The sequence below is a fragment of the Homo sapiens genome, chromosome 4 (assembly GCF_000001405.40).
Source record: "Homo sapiens chromosome 4, GRCh38.p14 Primary Assembly".
Taxonomy (NCBI): Eukaryota; Metazoa; Chordata; class Mammalia; order Primates; family Hominidae; genus Homo; species Homo sapiens.
Genome location: NC_000004.12, coordinates 82,865,001 through 82,887,217, shown reverse-complemented (window position 1 = coordinate 82,887,217; position 22,217 = coordinate 82,865,001). Strand labels below are relative to the sequence as shown.

General features: G+C 38.2%; 1 protein-coding gene across 57 annotated transcripts in view; it reads left to right on the top strand.

The window, feature by feature from the left end:
* SEC31A (SEC31 homolog A, COPII component) overlaps window positions 1–22,217 on the top strand; it is an 82,061-nt gene that overhangs the window by 13,352 nt on the left and 46,492 nt on the right. For 32 of the 57 annotated variants that reach the window (NM_001300744.3, NM_001300745.3, NM_016211.5 and 29 more), the window contains exons 2-10: window positions 5,278–5,360; window positions 6,296–6,419; window positions 8,290–8,488; window positions 11,396–11,491; window positions 12,467–12,607; window positions 15,132–15,274; window positions 16,794–16,893; window positions 19,902–20,063; window positions 20,258–20,410. In NM_001300744.3, the coding sequence (NP_001287673.1) occupies window positions 5,282–5,360; window positions 6,296–6,419; window positions 8,290–8,488; window positions 11,396–11,491; window positions 12,467–12,607; window positions 15,132–15,274; window positions 16,794–16,893; window positions 19,902–20,063; window positions 20,258–20,410 (1,197 nt within the window). In that variant the 5' untranslated portion in view covers window positions 5,278–5,281. 57 annotated transcript variants of the gene reach the window in all.

Genomic DNA, 22,217 nt, shown 5'->3' with positions numbered 1-22,217 from the left:
AGAAATACTATAATTGTATTCCATTTTTTTAATAATACAGCTATTTTGATTTCACTTTTAGAAATTATTCTGAAGGCATCTTATAACCTTTTCCCCCTTAACCATACTTTCTCCTTTTTTAAAAAGTAAATGATCCTTTAAAGAGTTAAGAATTTAAAAGTAAATGTTTTATCTGAAACTGGTCACTCTAGCTCATTAGTCTACTTGTTTTCCCCTAAATATAAACATTTAAAATAAATCAAAACTTTCTGTATATCTCCTTCTGTGCTAAGCAATTTTGAGTCTAAAAAGGGGTAAAAGTTTTGAAAAAAGACGTTATTTGTCTAGTTGGTGAGATAAGATAGCACATAAGGCAACTGGTTAAAAAAAGGTAATTGGAAAATATGTAAACAATATGTGCTAGTAGAATGTTACAAAATGTTTATTAAAATATAATGACGTTATTATAAAATGCTTAAATCATAGTATTGACAAGTACAAACTTGTCGGGGAGTATTTAGATCAATGTGGATTGAATCATCAGGGCAGTTTTCATGGAGGAGCTGGAACTTGAATTTATTATTAAAGATCAGGTGAGACAGTTGGCAAAGAGGAAGAAGAGGAGATTCATGTAAGAAAATAAATGCCTTTTTTATATCTTAGAAAGTTGGAATTTTTCCCCCCAAATAACCCTGAAGTTTTCTTGTTTAATCTCATGATAGTGGTAATCTTTAAAAATAGCAAACCTATCAAAAGCACTAACCCATGTGCTGAGCACTTTTTTTGGCTCCCTATTATAAAACGTATGATCTCATTGGAACCTCACAGCATCCCATGAGGTTGTCACTCTTTTCCCTATTTTACGAATGTAGAAACTGGGGCTCAGGGAGGTTAAATAATGTGTCCAAAGTATCATAGCTAATAAGTAACAGAGCCAGTAGTTAAATTGAGGATTAACTCCAGAGACCATGCTTTTAACCATGTGATACATCCTGCCTCCTAATCTCACTTTGCTCTAACCTAACACAATTTCTAAAATGCATTTCTTCAGTTTCATCATGCATGCTGGTTGCTTTGTTATTGTTTCTTCTAAATGTTAATATTTCCTCTATGATATAAAAATTGAATACCTGAACTTGTTGGAAGTAGAAAGAACTCTGGAGCTAAACTTGCAAGTTCCAATCTTGGCTCTGCCCCTTGCCCCCTTGCTAGCATGTACAGATTGTCTAACTTTCTGTGTCTTAATTTTTTCCTCTATAAAATCTCCTTCAAATATAAACAATTTGCAGGTACAAGACTCGGAGCATATGTTTAAGGCAATCTTAAGGAAAATGTTAGAGGATAAACTCTGGAGCTGAGTAAGGAAACTGGCAAAAATACTCTTGGAGAGCATTGAGTATGCATTTTAACTGCAGGACTGAGACTGGAACAAAAGTGAGAATGAGGAAGAAAGAATAAAATGTAAATGTTAAATGTCCAATAATGTAAGGGATTGATTATACAACTAATAAAAAGAGAAGAGGAAAGAAATTGGAGGTAGAATAAGTTTGTGAATTGCCACATCTGTAATGGCTATGAGTCAAAGGACATCATTTAAAGCTGACAGATCAGTTAGTAGAAGTATAAGGAGTTCAAAGGTAAACACTGAGAAAGATAATACTATTGACTATAACCATGTTGTGTGGATGGGCAGTAAGATTATACAAGCTAATTTCATAAGTGCTCATAGTAGGGAGTTAATAGTTTCTGTGTAAAGAAATAGAGGATTAATGGTATTAAGTAAAATATTTAAAATTACAGTTAAAAAGATAGAATCAGAAACACATATTATAATGAAAATATACATCATCCTAATTATCAGAAAAATGGTAATTGCACAAAAAAGAAAACAGACAATGAAAGACTTTTTAAAAATTATTACCCAAAGATATTAAACCAAAGTAAAATATGGTAAAACTAAGACCAACCATGTCTGTCATGTCAATACATTTTAAATGTCCTTAGCTAACCTACTGTGAAAAGATTTTCAAATTGGATCACCAGTAAAATCTGTTGGTTTTTTGTTTGTTATTTTGTTTGTAATGATGACAAAGTAGTTCTGAAGGGCAAAAGTATACATGTAAAGGCAAACAAGAGGTGGAATTCAGACCAAAAGTCATTATTTGAGACAAAGAAGGATATTCATAAAGCTAAAGTGTATATTTGACAGTGAATTTGAACATTATGGATATGCACCAAATAACTATTAAATAACAAAGTAATTTTCATAAAGCAAAAGTTTCAGGAGATACCATGAGAAATTGACATAAATATATTAGCAGTAAGAGACTTAATTCACTGTTTCGGTCCAAGGCAGATCAAGTGGACAAAAAAGTAAGGATATAGGAGATCTAAACAAATCAATAAAGAGGACTTAGTTAATATATATTGAGCTCTAGGCCCTGAAAACAGAGAGCACCCCTTCTTTCTAGGTCCCAAGAACAATTCACAAAAATTCACTATATAGGCTCTATTGAAAGGAAAGGAGGAATTATAGGCATAGGGGATTTTAGGACAAGGGAACTACTCTGTGTGATACTATAATGACAGATACATGTTGTTATACATTTGTCAAAACCCATAGAATATACAACACCTAGAGTGAGCCCTCATATAAATTGTGGAGTTTCAGTGATAATGATGTGTTCATGTTAGTTTATGGATCGAAACAAATAGACCTTTATGATGTGCGATGTTGGTGGTGAGAAAGGTTATGTGGTTGGGAAATGTGTAGCAATTTTTTGTACTTTGTGGCTCAACTTTTCTAGGAACGTAAAACTCTAAAAGATAAAGCATATAGCTTTTTTTATTTTTAATCAAAATCCTATGAAAGGTGAAAAGAAATTTTTTTTTTGAAAAAAGCAAAGTCAAAAGATAGTCTATCAACTTAATAGAAAAATTGTCGAATGATGGCCGGGCGCAGTGGCTCACCCCTGTAATCCCAGCACTTTGGGAGGCTGAGGAAGGTGGATCACCTGAGGTCAGGAGTTCGAGGCCAGCCTGGCCAACATGGTGAAACCCCGTCTCTACTAAAAATACAAAAAAATTAGCCTGATGTGGTGGTGTGTGCCTGTAATCCCAGTTACTTGGGAGGCTGAGACACCAGAATCGCTTGAACCCGGAGGCAGACGTTGCAGTGAGCCGAGATCGCCCCACTGTGCTCCAGCCTGGGTGACAGAACGAAACTCCATCTCCAAAAAAAAAAAAAAAAGAATAGAAAAGAAAAATGGTCAAATAATACATGACTAGACAGAAGAGATGACAGAAAAGGAAATATGTTTACCCATAGTCATACAAAAAAAAGATGTTATACATCATTTATAGTATTACTATACAGAGCTAACATTTTTATTTTTCTCTTTTTTTTTTTTGAGTCATGGTCTCACTCTGTCGCCCAGGCTGGATTGCAGTGGCGCAATCACGGCTCACTGCAGCCTCAACTTCCCGGGCTCAAACAATCCTTCCTCCTCAACCTCCCGAGTAGCTGGGACTACAGGCGTGCACCACCATGCCCAGCTAATTTTTGTATTTTTTCTAGAGATGGGATTTCACCATGTTGTCCAAGCTGATCTTGAACTCCTGGGCTCAAGCAATCCACTTGCTTCGGCTCCTAAAGTGCTGGGCTTACAGGCCTGAGCCACTGCACCTGGCCTTTCATTTTTTAGTGTTGGTATGATCTAAAAGTGTGACAGTATGCTCTGATAAGGCTGTAGGGCAATAAGTAATCGTATATTACTGTTGGTGGTATGAAAAGGCACAATTGCCATAGAGGACAACTTGGTAATATTCATCAAAATTAAAATTGCATTAACCTTTTAACTTAGCAATTTTACTTCTGGAAATTTATAGCTGTCCCTTTTTAATGAAATAACGTGCAGATGACCATTTATTTCAGCACTTTTTTGTAAAAATAGCTAAAAACAGCTTAGGTGTTTGTTGGTATTAGACTAGGTAATTATGGTACATCTTATAGTGCAGTACTATGCCATTTCAATATATTTATGTAAAAATAACAAAGATCTTTAAAAAGTACATAATACTATACCGTTGTAATTTTTCCATCAAAGTAACTTTTTTTTTGAGACCGAGTCTCGCTCTGTTGCCCAGGCTGGAGTGCAGTGGCATGATCTCGGCTCAATGTAACCTTCACCACCTGGGTTCAAGTGATTCTTCTGCTTCAGCCTCCCAAATAGCTGGGATTACAGGCATGCACCACCACACCTGGCTAATTTTCTTGTATTTTTAATAGAGACGGGGTTTTGCCATGTTGGCGAGGCTGGTCTCGAACTCCTGGCCTCAAGTGATCCAACTGCCTCGTCCTCCCAAAGTGCTGCGATTGCAAGCATGAGCCACCATGCCTGACTCCATCAAAGTAACTTTAATGACAGAAAATACGTAAACAAGTGGTATATGGGATTATACCTTGAAGTGACCAGTTTTCTAATAATTTCTACTTTATCTTTAAAATCTGTGGGCTTACTATATTCTCTCTAATATGTTGTAACTTTGAATTAATTTTTTAAACTGCTCTTATCATTGAGTAATCCTACTCCAGGAAGTTGCACCTTATTTATTTTTTGGCTGCTCTTACCCGTAATGTTTTGTCATCCATCCTAGTTGGATAAACACATGTGTAGCAAAGTTAATTCTTCAGGTACTACCTTATTATTTTTGTGGGCTATTTTTCTAGACTGATTCAACTGAAGAACTATAATCTGTAAACAGAATAGCCCAGTATTTGTCTCAAAATGGTTTATCAAGTTTGTCTTTTTTTTTTTTTTTTTTTTTTTTTTTTTTTGAGATAGAGTCTTGCTCTCTCGCCCAGGTTGGCATGCAGTGGTGCAATCTCAACTCACTGCAAGCTCTGTCTTCCGGGTCATGCCATTCTCCTGCCTCAGCCTCCTGAGTAGCTGGGACTACAGGTGCCCGCCACCACGCCCGGCTAATTTTTTGTATTTTTAGTAGAGATGGGGTCTCACCATGTTAGCCAGGATGGTCTCAATCTCCTGACCTCGTGATCCGCCCGCCTTGGCCTCCCAAAGTGCTGGGATTACAGGCATGAGCCACCCGGCCTCAAGTTTGTCTTCTTTCTAATGAATATATCCAACAAATGACACCTAAACCGATTTGATTTATTTGCAGTTGGGCATTACTAATGTTGTAGTGGTTTGTTCAGTATGTTTCTATTTAAAATATCTGTGTTCTGTGTTAGACATTCAAGTCATTCAAGGCTGTTTCTGTATAAAATATTCCCTTTAGCAGGATGAAGTTAAAGGAAGTAGATCGTACAGCCATGCAGGCATGGAGCCCTGCCCAGAATCACCCCATTTACCTAGCAACAGGTAAGTTCAAAGGAGAGAAGATAGTATGAGTTACCTAATTTCTTCTCTTCTGCACCTAGCTTATTCAGTTTAAGCTTTATCTTCTCTAGAAAGCCTCTCTCTCCCTGGCAAGTTACTGACATTCTATCAGCCAAGTTTAGTGTTCTTCCTCTGTGTTCCCATAGCATTTTGATCATGATGTGTTACATCTAAAATATTTTCCTTCACAGGAATTGTATTTTATCTTTATTCCTCCAGTATTAAGCACAATAGATGGCATGTAAAAAAAACAGTTAATATCAGTTTGAATGAATGAAGAGCAATTTTGATGTTAGCATTTTTATATAAAAAGAAATAGTTATATCATATATGTCTATAAGCAGATATAGTAAATCACGGGACTTTTTTTTTTTTGAGATGGAGTCTTGCTCTTTCGCCCAGCCTGGAATGCAGTGGCGTGATCTCTGCTCACTGCAAGCTCCACCTCCCTGGTTCCTTCCATTCTCCTGCCTCAGCCTCCCAAGTAGCTGGGACTACAGGCGTCCACCACCATGCCTGGCTAATTTTTTGTATTTTTAGTAGAGATGGGATTTCACCATGTTAGCCAGGATGGTCTTGATCTCCTGACCTCATGATCCACCCATCTCGGCCTCCCAAAGTGCTGGGATTACAGGCATGAGCCACCGTGCCCAGCCCCCATCACGGGACCATTTTTACAGAGATTTTTAAATATATACAGGCTTAAAAAATTATTTACACTACCCACTCTTATAAACATCCTCTCCTAGCCCTGTGCCAGAATCTCATTGCTATAGTAATTTAAGCATCTGCTCAATGGCATATGTGCAGCATTCATGAGCAAGAGAATGGAAAACATGCTTTTAACTTCTGTTTTGTATGGTTTCTCTGATCTTTTATTTTTGTGTGTATAGTTACCATAAATATATTTTCTATAGGAACATCTGCTCAGCAATTGGATGCAACATTTAGTACGAATGCTTCCCTTGAGATATTTGAATTAGACCTCTCTGATCCATCCTTGGATATGAAATCTTGTGCCACATTCTCCTCTTCTCACAGGTATGAGGTTCAGCTTTAAATTCATGTGATTATTTAATTATATATTGTTCTTGATTCCTAATTTGTCTATAATTATGCCATTATTAGAAACTACAAGGAATACCATCAAGAACATGAAATATTTTGTGAAAAAGCATGTGAGTGAATTTTTATGGAAGTAAAAGTAGTGTTTATGTGTTCTATTGACTTTTTTTTTTCTTTTTTTTTTTTGAGACAGAATCTTACTTCATAGCTCAGGCTGGAGTGCAGTGGCACGATCTCGGCTCACTGCAACCTCCACCTTCCAGGCTCAAGCAATTCTTGTGCCTCAGCCTCCCGAGTAGCTGGGATTACAGGTGCACACCACCTTGCCCAGCTAATTTTGTGTCTTTAGTAGCGACAGGGTTTTGCCATGTTGGCCAGGCTGGTTTTGAACTCTTGACCTCAAGCAATCCACCCACCTTAGCCTCCCAAAGTGCTGAGATTATAGGCATGAGGAATCACGCTTGGCCAGTATGTTCTGTTGGCTTTTTTATTGCTGTTACATGTAAGGTAGGAAGGAGAGGCTGTAGTTTCTAGCATTTTTTTCTGTTTTTTTGGTGTGTGTGTGGTTTTTTTTGTTTTTGTTTTTTTTTTGAGATGGAGTTTCACTCTTGTTGCCCAGGCTGGAGTGCAATGGCGCAATCTCGGCTCACCACAACCTCTGCCTCCTAGGTTCTAGCAATTCTCCTGCCTCAGCCTCCCGAGTAGCTGGGATTACAGGCATGTGCCACCATGCCTGGCTAATTTTGTATAGAGTTCTTTTTTCTATCTCCTTTATTGTGCCTGTTTACAAAAAGGTAGATGTGACTAGAAAAGGAGTAGTCATCGTAAGTATTAATAGTGATTATCTCTGAATGGTAGCTTATTTTTATTTTCTTCTGTTACGATATTTAGAAATATATCTCACAGTTTTGTTGACACGATTTCTAATACACTAGGTAACTAGGTATTTGGATCATACTTTCAAGTACTTATGCCCTATTGTAATGCAGAGAAAGGAGGTCTTCATTTCAGTAATAAAATAAGCTTTATTGCCTCAATATATTAGCAGGGTTTAAAGAGATTGCTCTTTAGCTGACAGAATATAGCTCAAATCATGCAGTTTCATGGGACCGCTCATATTCTTCAGAGCTGTCACAGTGGGATGGGAACCCCAGATACCTTTTGTCTAGTAGTTTTTCTGCTTACTACCATCTGTATCATCGTATACCTTTCTGCCTTCATATTTCATCTCCATTCTGGACCATATATTTTATTCTCTAATAGTAGGGGTACTTGTTATAATCTTGATGTCATTTTTCTACCATTAGAATACATTCTTTTTCTTAGAAAATTTCACATGACTCCTTTAACACCTTTACTATTTAACAGACCACTTGTTAGTGACCCCCCCTTTTTTTTTTTTTCAGACAAAGGTCAAAGCATGAGACCCTTCTATAGTCAAATAAAGAGTGTTTTTACCTTTCGAGGGAAGTGATTGATTAGCTCTATTTTACAATGAACCAGAGGCAATTTAAGAAGATTAAGTAACTTAGGGTCTCACAGTTTCTAAATGGTAAAATCATTCTTAAGCTCATATTTTTTGACACACAACTCAAGTATATTTTGTTACACTACCTTACAAGAGTTTTTACTCTTTAAGGATTACAAAATCACATATGCAAATATGAGTATAAATAAAAAATGAAATACTATTACACCAAAGTCATACATAGTTACCAGGAGTGGTGGGAAAGTAATATATTTGGATTGTTTATGAAAACATTAAAAATTAAGTGTATAATTTCAATTTTTTGTCTACATTTATTTGACTTTAAGAATGAATGATTTTATTCATTTTCTCCTGTAGGTACCACAAGTTGATTTGGGGGCCTTATAAAATGGATTCCAAAGGAGATGTCTCTGGAGTTCTGATTGCAGGTGGTGAAAATGGAAATATTATTCTCTATGATCCTTCTAAAATTATAGCTGGAGACAAGGAAGTTGTGATTGCCCAGAATGACAAGCATACTGGCCCAGTGAGAGCCTTGGATGTGAACATTTTCCAGGTTAAGACTTTAACATTTCATAATTCTTAGACTATGTGCTGCTCATTTGAAATCAGTATATGAATCTACTATGCCTCAGTTTTGGAATTGAAAGTTAAAAAACTGTGGCTATACAGGTTGACGAGTGTTTGTTTAAAGAATGGTGGGTTCAGAGTTGAGATCAGGGTTAAAAATACTACCTCCATGAAAAGGATCCGGCTGATAGGTTTTTGTTTTTGTTTTTGTTTTTGTTTTTTTGAGACGGAGTCTCGCTCTGTCACCAGGCTGGAGTGCAGTGGCATGATCTTGGCTCACTGCAACCTCTGCCTCCTGGGTTCAAGTGATTCTCCTGCCTCAGCCTCCCGAGTAGCTGGGATTACAGGCGCCTGCCACCACGCCCAGCTAATTTTTGTACTTTTAGTAGAGATGGGGTTTCACCATGTTGGCCAGAATGGTCTCGATCTCTTGACCTTGTGATCCGCCCGCCTCGGCCTCCCAAAGTGCTGGGATTACAGACGTGAGCCACTGTGCCCAGCTGGCTAATAGGTTTAAGTCTGAAGATGTCACGCCATTTGATTAGACATTTTATAAACATTAAGATCCCTATAGGTTGGAAACCTTGCCTTTTAAAAGTTCATGCTAGGTCAGCATTAGGCTGGTGCTGTGATGTCCAGGTTAATTCACTGTTTTATTAATTGAGAAATTTTATGTTTATGACAGAGATTAATACTCTATGAAATAATTAGAAATTAAATGTAATGGCTGGGCATGTGGCTCACACCTGTGTAATCCCAGCACTTTGAGAGGCCGAGGCAGACAGATCATGAGGTCAGGAGTTCGAGACCAGCCTGGCCAACGTGGTGAAACCCCGTCTCTACTAAAAATACAAAAATTAGCCGGGCATGGTGGCAGGCACCTGTAATCCCAGCTATTCGGGAGTCTGAGGCAGGAGAATCGCTTGAACCCGGGAGGCGGAGATCGCAGTGAGTTGAGATCGTGCCATTGCACTCCAGCCTGGGCAACGAGCAAAACTCAAAAAAAGAAAAAAGAAATGTAATGCAGATTTAACAAATAGTCAATTAAGATTCTTTGTACTGTTGCCTTCATAAACATTTCTGGTTGTTAATTATATAAATGCACAGCTTAATAACGATCTTAGCCTGAACAGGATGGTGAAACCCTGTCATTACAAAAAATGCAAACAATTAGCAGAACATGGTGGCACACGCCTGTAGTCTCAGCTACACGGGAGGCTGAGGTAGGTTGATGGCTTTAGCCTGGGAGGTCTACGCTGCAGTGAGCTATGATCACACCACTGCACTGCAACCTGGGTGACACATAGAGACCCTGTCTGGAAAAAAAAAAAAGACCTTGAGTTAATAGGATACTAGATTATAACAACCAAAAATGAGTATTAAGAAAATTTTAAATAGTTCCTTTTCTTATATTATAAATAGATACTTAGGGTATAGCAATACAGAAACCCAACTTGTTTATTTCTTTTTTGTTGTTGTTTTTTGTTTTTTGAAACAGCGTCTTGCTCCCTCTGCCAGGCTGGACTGCAGTGGCTCATGACTCACTGCAGTCTTGACCTCCTGGGCTCAAGCAAGTCTTCTGTCTCAGCCACCTGAGTAGCTGGGACTACAGGCATGAGCCACAACACCTGGCTAATTTTTGTAGAGACAGGGTTTTTTCGTGTTGGTCAAGCTGGTCCCAAACTCCTGGGCTCAAGTGGTCTGTCTGCCTCAGCCTCCCAAAGTGCTGTGACTACAGGCATGAGCCACTGTGCCCAGCCTTCGTTTCTATAGTTTGTGGTATCTGCTCTTTAGCTAACTCCTTTGTTAATTGTATTGAACAGCTGATGATTTTTAATAAAGTATTTTGTGTTATAGGTAGCTACTACCATAGAATGTCTCCCTTTTTTTAGTTATATGCCAACTGATAGAGAATAATTTGTAAGAGTAAATAGTAGTGGATGAAGGTCAGTATATGAAGCCCATTATCTTCCTGTACTTTATATTACAATTTCAGGTTCTTTTTGACCCTTAAGGTATGTACCAGAGAAAACCTAGAAATATTGCCACCTGGAATAAGATTGAGTGTATATGAACTAGAAATATGTGAAGAGTTATGACAAGAGATTTTACTAGTGCTGTATTGATTCAGCTCTGGAAGCTGGCTTTGAGGTATCCTGAGAAAGATGCCACAGTTTTAGGATTCAGCTTTTTCTGAAAGCAATAATTGATGACCTTTTTAATCTTATAATTAAATCTCCTTCCAGAGATGCAAAGATACAAACAGTAATCCTCACATGGTTGCATGACTGATTAAGAATTTATCCAGCCAGGTTTGGTGGCTCACGCCTGTAATCCCAGCACTTTGGGAGGCCGAGGCAGGTGGATCACCTGAGGTCAGGAGTTTGAGACCAGCCTGACCAACATGGAGAAACCCCGTCTCTACTAAAAATACAGAATTAGCCGGGAGTGGTGGTGCATGCCTGTAATCCTAGCTACTCGGGAGGCTGAGGCAGGAGAATCACTTGGACCCGGGAGGCGGAAGTTGTGGTGAGCTGAGATTGCACCATTGCACTCCAGCCTGGGCAACAAGAGCAAAACTCCATCTCAAAAAAAAAAAAAAAAAAAAGAATTTATCCATATAATTTTTAAAATAATATCTTGCATTAAAATTAATTTGTTCTCAGTAGACATCTTTTGTCTTTGTTAAGTAGAATTTTATGTTTTTCTAGAAAACTTTAAATTTTGAAAGAATTATGCATAATTTAGAAATTCATGCATATGTTTTTCACTTTTCAAATTAAATAGAAAAATTGTGTATGCTACATCTAATATCTTTCTAGCTCTGAACTGAGTTATTCTGAATTTTCTTAATTATTCATAAGTGCTATTTAGTTATGGTTTCTTCTTGCAGACTAATCTGGTAGCTTCTGGTGCTAATGAATCTGAAATCTACATATGGGATCTAAATAATTTTGCAACCCCAATGACACCAGGAGCCAAAACACAGGTATTTTTATATTGATTTTGATCATTGTAATCAAAAAAGCCAAAAGTAGTTCTCCTAAACCTACTTATTTCACTTTTAAGGCTTCTCACACAAAACATATATGTTTAAAATCATTGTTTAGATATTACTGATTTTTCTTCAGTAATTAATAAATATGTTTCTTCAAAGTATCAGTGAGTCCATCAAGAGTAAATATTTATTTAGTACCTACCACCTGGTAGACACTGGTCATTGTACTAGGCATACAGTAGTAAACAAAATGAACAAAAATCCTTAATAATTGTCTTAGATATAGTATAATTATTTTTGTTCTTTGTGTGATAGTTGCTCTGTGTTTTGGCAACAACCAACCTTCTTAAAACACACTTAGACAAGACCATGGAAGACAAGGTTTAAAATAAATACCTCAAGCCCTTTGCTTGTGTATTTCTATTAAGTTTGGTAACAACAGTCTTCTCCTGTTCTTCCCTGAGTTTCTTTATGTTGTATAGGCTATCCAACTTGAGTAGCCATTGTAACTGGCTCTAACATTTTGGCAATCTGAGAGGTAGCATAATGACAGCATATGCACTACCATTTATAAAGGTATTTTGCTAATGGTCTAGGCTGTAATTTTGCCCTGCCTAGTTTTCTGTCATAGTCACCAACATCTACTTTGTGGTCCATAATCTACCTTGCAGCAGTTGCAAAGTAAAGAAACAGTACTTGGTTTATAGCAGAAATTCAATAAAATTCTTGTTGAATGAGATATTATGAAACAAGATAATACACTTGAAGTGGTATGTACCTGCATTTTAAGTCATATAATTTTATGTGTTGAGAATGTAGAGATGTAGGACTATAAAGCAAATTTGTGGCATAAATGGATCAGATTTTTAAGTAATACACTTTTCAAAATGAAGGATCCAATTTTACAGTTAAATTTGATTATAATAGAGAAACAAGCAGTTTTTATTAACTGTTTCTTCCTTGTAGCCGCCAGAAGATATCAGCTGCATTGCATGGAACAGACAAGTTCAGCATATTTTAGCATCAGCCAGTCCCAGTGGCCGGGCCACTGTATGGGATCTTAGAAAAAATGAGCCAATCATCAAAGTCAGTGACCATAGTAACAGAGTAAGTATGTGATTGACTTGTGATGAACATGTTGTATTTCTGCTGTAGGTATTCCTATATTGTTTGTCAGAGTTGACAACAAATCAAATTTCTGTGAAGTCAAATCCTGTTTTTTTATTAATCAGTCATGTTAGAAGGAATGTTTTGTTTTTTTTCCTCTAAGGGAAAATCATAAAATTCCCAATAAATATGTTGGATATTATTAATGATGAAGAGAGATTGGTTAATCAAGGAACTTATTCCATGATATACTGGTGGTTTTGCTTTGCTAGCTGTTTTAAAACATTGCAGCAACTTTTTTTTTTTTTTTCTTGAGACGGAGTCTCGCTTTGTCGCCCAGGCTGGAGTACAGTGGCGTGATCTCGGCTCACTGCAACCTCTGCCTCCTGGGTTCAAGCACTTCTCCTGCCCCAGCCTTCCGAGTAGCTGAGATTACAGGCATGCACCATCAAGCCCGGCTAATTTTTGTATTTTTGGTAGAGATGGGGTTTCACCATGTTGGTCTGGCTGGTCTCAAACTCCTGACCTCGTGATCTGCCTGCCTCGGCCTCCCAAAGTGCTGGGATTACAGGCATGAGCTTCTGTGCCCGGCCATTGCAGCAACTTTTTAATTCATCTTTAACTTTTCTTAGAATGTAAAAATTTTTCCTGCTGGAAGCTTCATCACTGTGAACTTGTAATATTTGACTTCTTGGCCTCATCTCTTCCTCTGATTAGGTACTGCTAAAATGAGCTAATATATTTTCGGCACTTACCCATAGAGCACATTAAATTCTGAACCTTTTAGGTATCTTTATTTTTTTATGTCATTAGATGCCATAAAATAATTTAGATATAATTTGGAGCTTTTTTTGTTTGTTTGTTTATGAGTACATTGGATAGTTTGACATTTTCTAAAATAAGTTTGCCAAAAGTCAGGCATACATATGTAGTTTAAAAACAACAATAACAACAAAAAACTATTTGGGAGAACACTTCTTCAGAGTATTGTTTTCAAGTGAATCAGGAGTTTTAAAACAGAAGTTTCAATGGAATAAACCATACCAGAAGCATTTTAGTCATTTTGTGGAATATTTAATAGAATTTGAACTTGCAGATAGTTCCTAATAATGTTAATTTATTCCATATGAAAATTTAAATGGTAGTTTTTGCTTCAGATATTTTGCCTTGATTTTTCTGATAAAATAGAGGAAAAGTATGGGGTTTTTTTGTGTCTTGTGTGTGTGTTAATTTTTTTAAGGGTTTTTTTTTTTTTGAGAGGGACTCTCACTCTGTCACCCAGTCTGGAGTGTAGGGGCGCAATCATGGCACTGCAACCTCCGCCTCCTGGGTTCAGGCAATTCTCCTGCCTCAGCCTCCTAAGTAGCTGGGATTACAGGCGTCCGCCACCATACCTGGCGAATTTTTGTATTTTTAGTAGAGATGGGTTTTACCATGTTGGCCAGACTGGTCTCAAACTCCTGACCTCATGATCCACCCGCCTTGGCCTCCCAAAGTGCTGGGATTACAGGAGTGAGCCACCACGCCCAGCCTGTATGTGTTAATCTTTTATCTGTTTTTTGTTTTTCGTTTTTCTGAAAGTATTTTAAATGTGCATAAAATGTTTTCTCTACTGGCCGGGCGCAGTAGCTCAATCCTAACACTTTGGGAGGCCGAGGTGGGCGAATTGCCTGAGCTCAGTAGTTCAAGACCATCCTGGGCAACATGGTGAAACCCCTTCTCTACTAAAATACAAAAAATTAGCCAGGCATGGTGGTGTGTGCCTGTACTCCCAGCTATTGGGAAGCTGAAGCGGGAGAATCGCTTGAACCTGGGAGGCGGAGGTGGCAGTGAGCTGAGATCGTGCCACACTGCACTCCAGCCTGGGTGACAGAGCGAGACTCCATCTCAAAAAAATAAATAAATACAATGAAATGTTTTCTCTAAACTTATATAGTTTTGATAGTAAAACTCATTTTTGGTATACAGTTATTCTGACTCAGAATGGTTTTGTGTGTATCAAATAGCTGCATGAATTGAGAAAATATTCAAATATCTTACTTTTAAGACTACTGTTTAAGACTGTTCAATAAAATTTAGTAGTTTTACATTTGTTTTTGTTTTGTTGTTTAAAATAAACTAAGGCCAGGCGCGGTGGCTCATGCCTGTAATACCAGCACTTTAGGAGGCCGAGGTGGGTGGATCATTTGAGGTCAGGAGTTCAAGACCAGCCTGGCCAACATGGTAAAACCTCATATCTACTAAAAATACAAAAGTTTGCTGGCATGGTGGCTTGCGCCTGTAATCCCAGCTACTCAGGAGGCTGAGGCAGGAGGATCACTTGAACCTGGGGGAGGTGGAGGTTGCAGTGAGCTGAGATGGCGCTACTGCACTCCAGCCTGGCTGACAATAAATAGATCATAAATAAAATAAGCCACAGCTGATGTTTTTCACTATTTGTTTCAATAAAGGTATATTTCTCGTTGTAGTTTGGCTTTTCATAAAGTAATTTGATTCATAAAATGTGAACCTTAACTATCTTCAGATGCATTGTTCTGGGTTGGCATGGCATCCTGATGTTGCTACTCAGATGGTCCTTGCCTCCGAGGATGACCGGTTACCAGTGATCCAGATGTGGGATCTTCGATTTGCTTCCTCTCCACTTCGTGTCCTGGAAAACCATGCCAGGTATCGTGCTGCTGTTACAAAGAACTTGATTTGTTTATTTTCTGAACATGTCGGTGATGTTTTCGTGACCAGAAATACACCATAGGACACAGGAACTTTTTTTTTTAGATGGAGTTTTGCTCTGTCACTTAGGCTGGAGTGCAGTGGCAAGATCTTGGCTCACTGCAACCTCTGCCTCCCAGGTTCAAACGATTCTCCTGCCTCAGCCTCCTGAGTAGCTGGGATTACAGGCGCAAGCCACCATGCCAGGAAATTTTTATAGTTTTATAAAAATTTTATAGCTGGGATTACATGCATGCGCCACCACGCCCAGCTAATTTTCATAGTTTTAGTAGAGATGGGGTTTTACCATGTTGGCCAGGCTGGTCTCAAACTTCTGACCTCAAGTGATCTGCCCACCTTTGCCTCCCAAAGTGCTGGGAATACAGGCATGGGCCACCGTAGGAACTTAATGTTTATGTCAGTTATCAGTTAGTCTATGGTAAAATTGGTTTTGTTATCCATTGTTTTGCTTAAAGTCACAGTTCCTAAATTAAGTAACGACTTACTGCAGTTAGATTTCATGCCCATCCATAGGTAAAACATTTTACTGTACCTACGTTACTTGTGTGTGTGTGTGTGTGTGTGTGTGTATGCATGTATAATCCCAATATAATTTTTATACAAATAGGATAATTTGTGCATATAGTTAGATAACTTTTTTCGTTAATCATGAATACCATATAATGGTAAGAAGTTGATTTCCACAAAATGATACGTATATATTTTGAGATGGGGTCTTGCTGATTTGCCCAGGATAGAGCCACCATAGCTCACTGCAGCCATGAGCCTCTGGGCTCAAGTAATCCTCCTGCCTCAGCTTCATGAGTATGCCTGGAACTACAGGCACACGCCACCATAACTGGCTGATTTTCAAATTTTTTGGTAGAGACAGAGTGTCGTTATATTGCCCAGGTTGGTCTTGAACTCGTGGCCTCAAATAATCCTCCTGCCTTGGCCTCCCAAAGTGTATAGAATAATTTTTATCTACATATTTTCTCATGGAAGGGTGGTCTGTAATTTATTGTGAAATAGTCTGTTGGGCATTTGTTTTCACTTTTTTGCTGTCATACACTGCACTACATTGAACATCCATGTATTTGTAATGATCAGATAGCATATACGTTACTAAGTTGCTTCTGAAAATATTGCATTTATTTTATTTTTATTTCTTTTTTTGTTTTTCTTTTTTTATTTTATGTTGAGATAGAGTCTCACTCACTCTGTTGCCCAGGCTGAAGTGCAGTGGCTCAATCTCAGCTCACTGCAGCCTCCACCTCCCAGGTTCAAGTGATTCTCCTACCTCAGCCTCCTGAGTAGTTGGCATTACAGGTGTGAGCCAATGCGCCCGGCGCTGAAACTCTTGCATTTAATTGTATTTCTGTTAACAATGTGTGAATCTACAAAACCTAGGCAGAAATAGTTGAGATTTGGTTTTCTCAAGATTAAAAATTTCCTTGTTCCTTTATGTTTTTTATAGGGGGATTTTGGCAATTGCTTGGAGCATGGCAGATCCTGAATTGTTACTGAGCTGTGGAAAAGATGCTAAGATTCTCTGCTCCAATCCAAACACAGGAGAGGTATGGGCAGGAAATGTGTCTCAACCTTGTAGCCCTTATAGTATGTTACTTCTGGCTACATAAGAAATTTTCTGTGTGGATTCTTTAGTGGATTACTATGTGAAGAGTATGTGGACGTGTGTGTGCAGTGTTTATTTGGCAGCAATTTTATCAGGAACATAATCTAAACTCAGCTTTTTAACCAGAAAAATCAGTAATTCAAATAGTATATTTTAAACTAGTAACCATCCCCTCCTCATTTCCAATAATGTGTTTATTACCTAGACTCAGAAATACTTTGATTTATTTCACATGTGGTTTATGGGAATCAGTATCTTCGATGTAGGATTGTTCAAGGTTTGCATCTTTTGCCTGCTTTACCGTTCCTGAGGATCCTCTTTCACTTCTGGAAATCAGTAGATACAGTTTTCCAATCTCTCTTCTGAATGATAAAGCAAGAATATAAATTATAGCTTTTATATTTTTACCTTTTTTATGTGAAGGTAGATGATTGCTAGTGCTTATGTAGTTTGATGGAATGCTAATAAAAATAAAGAGTGTCTTCGATAAGTTTTCATCTATATTGTTAAAATTAAAACAAGCCCTTTAGTTATTTGGTTTCTGGTTTAAGAGTTGTGGATGTAACAATATAGAATCATTAACATTAGGGGAGACAAGAGAAAAAAAATTAATAAATTTTACCGCATATCATTTGTAGGACAGATAACAAAAATCTTAATTTTACACTGTGCCTTGCCAAGTAAATTCAAAATTCATGGAACTTACTATTCTGTTATCATTTTCTCTGTAATATAATTTAATTAGATGAATTTTTGCCTGTGATTAGTTGTGTGTGCTTGGACTTTGAAGGAAGAGACTTTTAGTACATGCTACAACTAAAAAATTGGATTTTGTTGGCCGGGTGCAGTGGCTCAGGCCTGTAATCCCAGCACTTTGGGAGGCTGAGGCGGGCAGAGCACGAGGTCAGGAGATCGAGACCATCCTGGCTAACACGATGAAACCCTGTCTCTACTGAAAAAAAAAAAAAATACAAAAAAATTAGCTGGACGTGGTGGCGGGCGCCTGTAGTCCCAGCTACTAGGGAGGCTGAGGCAGGAGAATGGGATGAACCTGGGAGGCGGAGCTTGCAGTGAGCCCAGATCGCACCACTGCACTCCAGCCTGGGTGACAGAGTGAGATTCCATCTCAAAAAATAAATAAATAAATAAAAATTGGAATTTGTTCAAATGCAAATAAAGGATAGATAAATCATCTAAGTTTTATCAAACCACACATCTTATCAAACAAAATAAATACCAAAGACGTGAGCAGGCTAAATACCTTTTCAATTAATTCTATTTTTTAATAAAATGAAACATTTTAAATGTCACGTGGGCCACTTGTGGTGGCTCAGACCTGTAATCTCAGCACTTTGGGAGGCAAGGCAGGCTGGTGAAACCCCATCTCCACAACAAATACAAAAATTAGCTGGGTGTGGTGGCGTGTTCTGTAGTCCTAGCCACTCGGGAGGCTGACATAGGAGGATCGCTTGAGCCCAGGAGGTCAAGACTCCAATGAGCTGTGATTGCGCCACTGCACTCCAGCCTAGTCATCAGTGTGAGACCCTGTCTCAAAAATAAAAAAAAGAAAAAGGAAAAAGAAGGTCACATGAAGCCAGAGTTAAGTTCATTTGACTTATCATAAAGTCCTAAGATGTTGCTTCTGTGAGTAGCAGTTAACCACCATACTAACTTTGAGTTCACAACAAGGATTACATTGTGAAGGTTTCATATAAGCCATTTTCTATTTATTTATTTATTTTTTTTAGTACTATTAATTATTTTTTTGTCAGGGTCTTGCTGTGTCTCCCAAGCTGGAATGCAGTGGCACCATGACGGGTCACTGAAACCTTGACCTCTTGGGCTCCATCAGTCCTCCCACCTCAGCCTCCCAGCTAACAGGGACTACAGGCGTGCAGCACCGTGCCTGGCCAATATTTTGTATTTTTTTGTAGAGATGGGGTTTTGCCATGTTCCCCATGCTGGTCTTGAACTCCTGGGCTCAAGCATTCTGCCCACCTCAGCCTACCAAAGTGCTAGGATTATAGGCGTGAACCACCATGCCCAGCCTCATGTAGGTCATTTTCTATAGTTCTTTCTCTGTCATTTTCTTTCTAAAGGAAGCTGTTAATGCCGAATTCTGTTAGGATTCTGCAGTGATAGGAAGGTTGTGTATAGTACATGTTTTCTCTCGTGATTAAAAGTCAGATTTCTTAGTGAATTCTTCCTTCTCAAGATTGATTTTAAAATTTGATCCTCAAGTAACCTAAATATGGTTGTTGTTTGGGTCTTACCAGACAAAAACAATTGGACAGGACATCACTAATCTTTTAGAGTTTAAAAAGTTGGCCCTAGGCCGGGTGCGGTGGCTCACGCCTGTAATCCCAGCACTTTGGGAGGCCAAGGCGGGCGGATCACTTGAGGTCAGCAGTTCAAGGCAAGCCTGGCCAACGTGGTGAAACGCCATCTCTATTAAAAATGCAAAAATTAGCCGGGCATGATGATGGGCGCCTGTAATCCCAGCTGCTTGGGAGGCTGAGGCAGAATAGTTGCTTGAGCCCAGGAGGTGGAGGTTGCAGTGAGCTGAGGCTGCTGCCATTGCACTCCAGCCTGGGCGACAGAGCGAGACCCTGTCTCAAAAAAGAAAAAAAAAAGTTGACTCTAATAGAGTGTGCTGGTCTTTCAAATGCATCCATTATTTTGAACACAGAAAAGCCTCAGTTTTTAAAATGCGTTTATTCAAATCTGATTGAAATTTTAAGCTGCATTCCTGTTAATCAGAATAGGTCATCGTAATGGATCATTCTTGCACTTTAAAAAATCTTAGTATTCTTTTTCCTGGCTAAAGATACTTTCTACAAAAAAATATTCAATTTAACTATACTTGTTGACCACATTAATTCAGGTGTTTTGGTTACAAAGTGGCCATACCATTTTCTGAGTTTTGTTGTTTGTTTTTTGTTGGCCTAGGTGTTATATGAACTTCCCACCAACACACAGTGGTGCTTCGATATTCAGTGGTGTCCCCGAAATCCTGCTGTCTTATCAGCTGCTTCGTTTGATGGGCGTATCAGTGTTTATTCTATCATGGGAGGTAGCACAGATGGTTTAAGACAGAAACAAGTTGACAAGGTAATAGGAAGTGTTAAAGTTTTCTATTATAATGCCTGAAAAAAGTATGTGTTGTGTAATATTTTGAAATGACTTCACTGATTAACAATGCTGGTTAATTGGACAATTGTGATCAAAAATTTTTTTGGATATGACTGGAAAAAAATGAAACTTTGTGTATGGTCGGATGCTTATGTTATTATTATCTTTTTTAGCTTTCATCATCTTTTGGGAATCTTGATCCCTTTGGCACAGGACAGCCCCTTCCTCCGTTACAAATTCCACAGCAGACTGCTCAGCATAGTATAGTGCTGCCTCTGAAGAAGCCGCCCAAGTGGATTCGAAGGCCTGTTGGTGCTTCTTTTTCAGTAGGTGGATTTTGTTTTTATGGTCCATAGGCACAAAGGACTTTTTATACCAAAGTGTTATTATAGAGTCACTCTGATGGAAGCAATCAGGGTTTAAGTTGGGATTTGAGATGTACTTGTGGGTATTTCATCATTCAAAATGGTTTCTCTGAAAAATTGGAACCTACTCTTTTTTTTCCCTTTTTTAAAAATCATGGTAAAATATACATAAAATTGATCATTTTGTTCATTTTTAAATATACAGTTCAATGGCATTAAGTACATTTACATTGTTGTTGTGTAGCCAACACTTTATATTCCTCCCCTCCTCCATTTTTTTGTTTGTTTGTTTGTTTTTTTGAGACAGTCTCACTCTGTTGTACAGGCTGGAGTGCAGTGGCACAACCTTGGCTCACTGCAACCTCCGCCTCCTTGGTTCAAGCGATTCTCCTGCCTCAGCCTCCTGGGTAGCTGGGATTACAAGCACGTGCCACCACACCTGGCTGGTTTTTGTATTTTTAGTAGAGATGGGGTTTTACCATGTTGACTGGCCTGGTCTTGAACTCCTGACCTCAGGTGATCCACCCGCTTCGGCCTCCCAAAGTGCTGGGATTACAGGCATGAGTCACTGCACCCGGCCCTCCTCCCTTTTAAATTTGTCTTCCTTCTCTCTCTCTCTGTCTCTCTTTCCCTCCCTCTGTCTCTCTTTCCCTCCCTCCCTCCCTTCTTTTTCTTTTCTTTTCTTCTTTTTTTCTTTTCTTTTTGCAGGGAGTGTCCTCCCTCTTCTTCATCCTTTTAGCTTTCTTTTTTAATTGCCAGCTTTTTTTAATGGTAAAAAATGCATAATATAAAATTTTAATTGTAAAAAATGCATAATATAAAATTTACTATCTTAACCATTTTAAAATATACACTACAACCATTTTTAAATATATACTACAGTAGTGTTAACTATATACACGTTGTTGTGCAACAGATCTCTAGAACTTTCTCATCTTGCAAAACTGAAACTCTGTGCCCTTGAACAACAGCTCCCCATTTCCTGTTTCCCTTGAATCCCTGGTAACCACATTCTACTTTGTTGCTAGGAGTTTTCTACTTTAAATTACTCATATAAATGGAATCATGCAGTACTTGTCTTTTTGTGGCTGGCTTATTTTACTTAGCTTAATGTCCTCAAGGTTTATCTGTGTTGTAGTGTGACAGAATTTACTTCTTTTTAGAGGCCAAATAATATTGCATTGTATATATATATATATATATATATATATATATATATATATATATATATACCACATTTTTTTTTATCCATTCATTTGATGGTCATTTTGGTTGCTTCCACCTTTTGGCTATTGTGAATAAATGCTGTGGTGAACATGGGTTTGTAATTATCATTTTGGGATCCTGCTTTCAGTTTTTTGGGACATATACCCAGAAGTGGGATTGCTGGATCATAGGATGGTTCTATTTTTAAGTTTTTGAAGAACCTCCATACCATTTTATAGCCGTTTTACCATTTTACATTCTCACTAGTGGTGCACAAGGGTTCTAGTTTCTCCACATCCTCTCTAGCACTTTTTGTTTGTTTCTTCCTTTTACATTGCTGATACCTTGCCTAATTCTTTCATGCCAAACTTCTAATAGCTTGATTTCATATTTGTTGCTTGTCTTTTCCCCCTCTAATCTCTACTACATATTCCAAGATTAATCTTCCTAAAATGGACCTTTGAATATGTTTTATGTCACTCGTAAGTCTGTTCTTTGGATCTGCTTAATCTTCTCATCGTCCTATCTGGTCTTCTCTATCTGGGTGGATCACTTGAGGTTA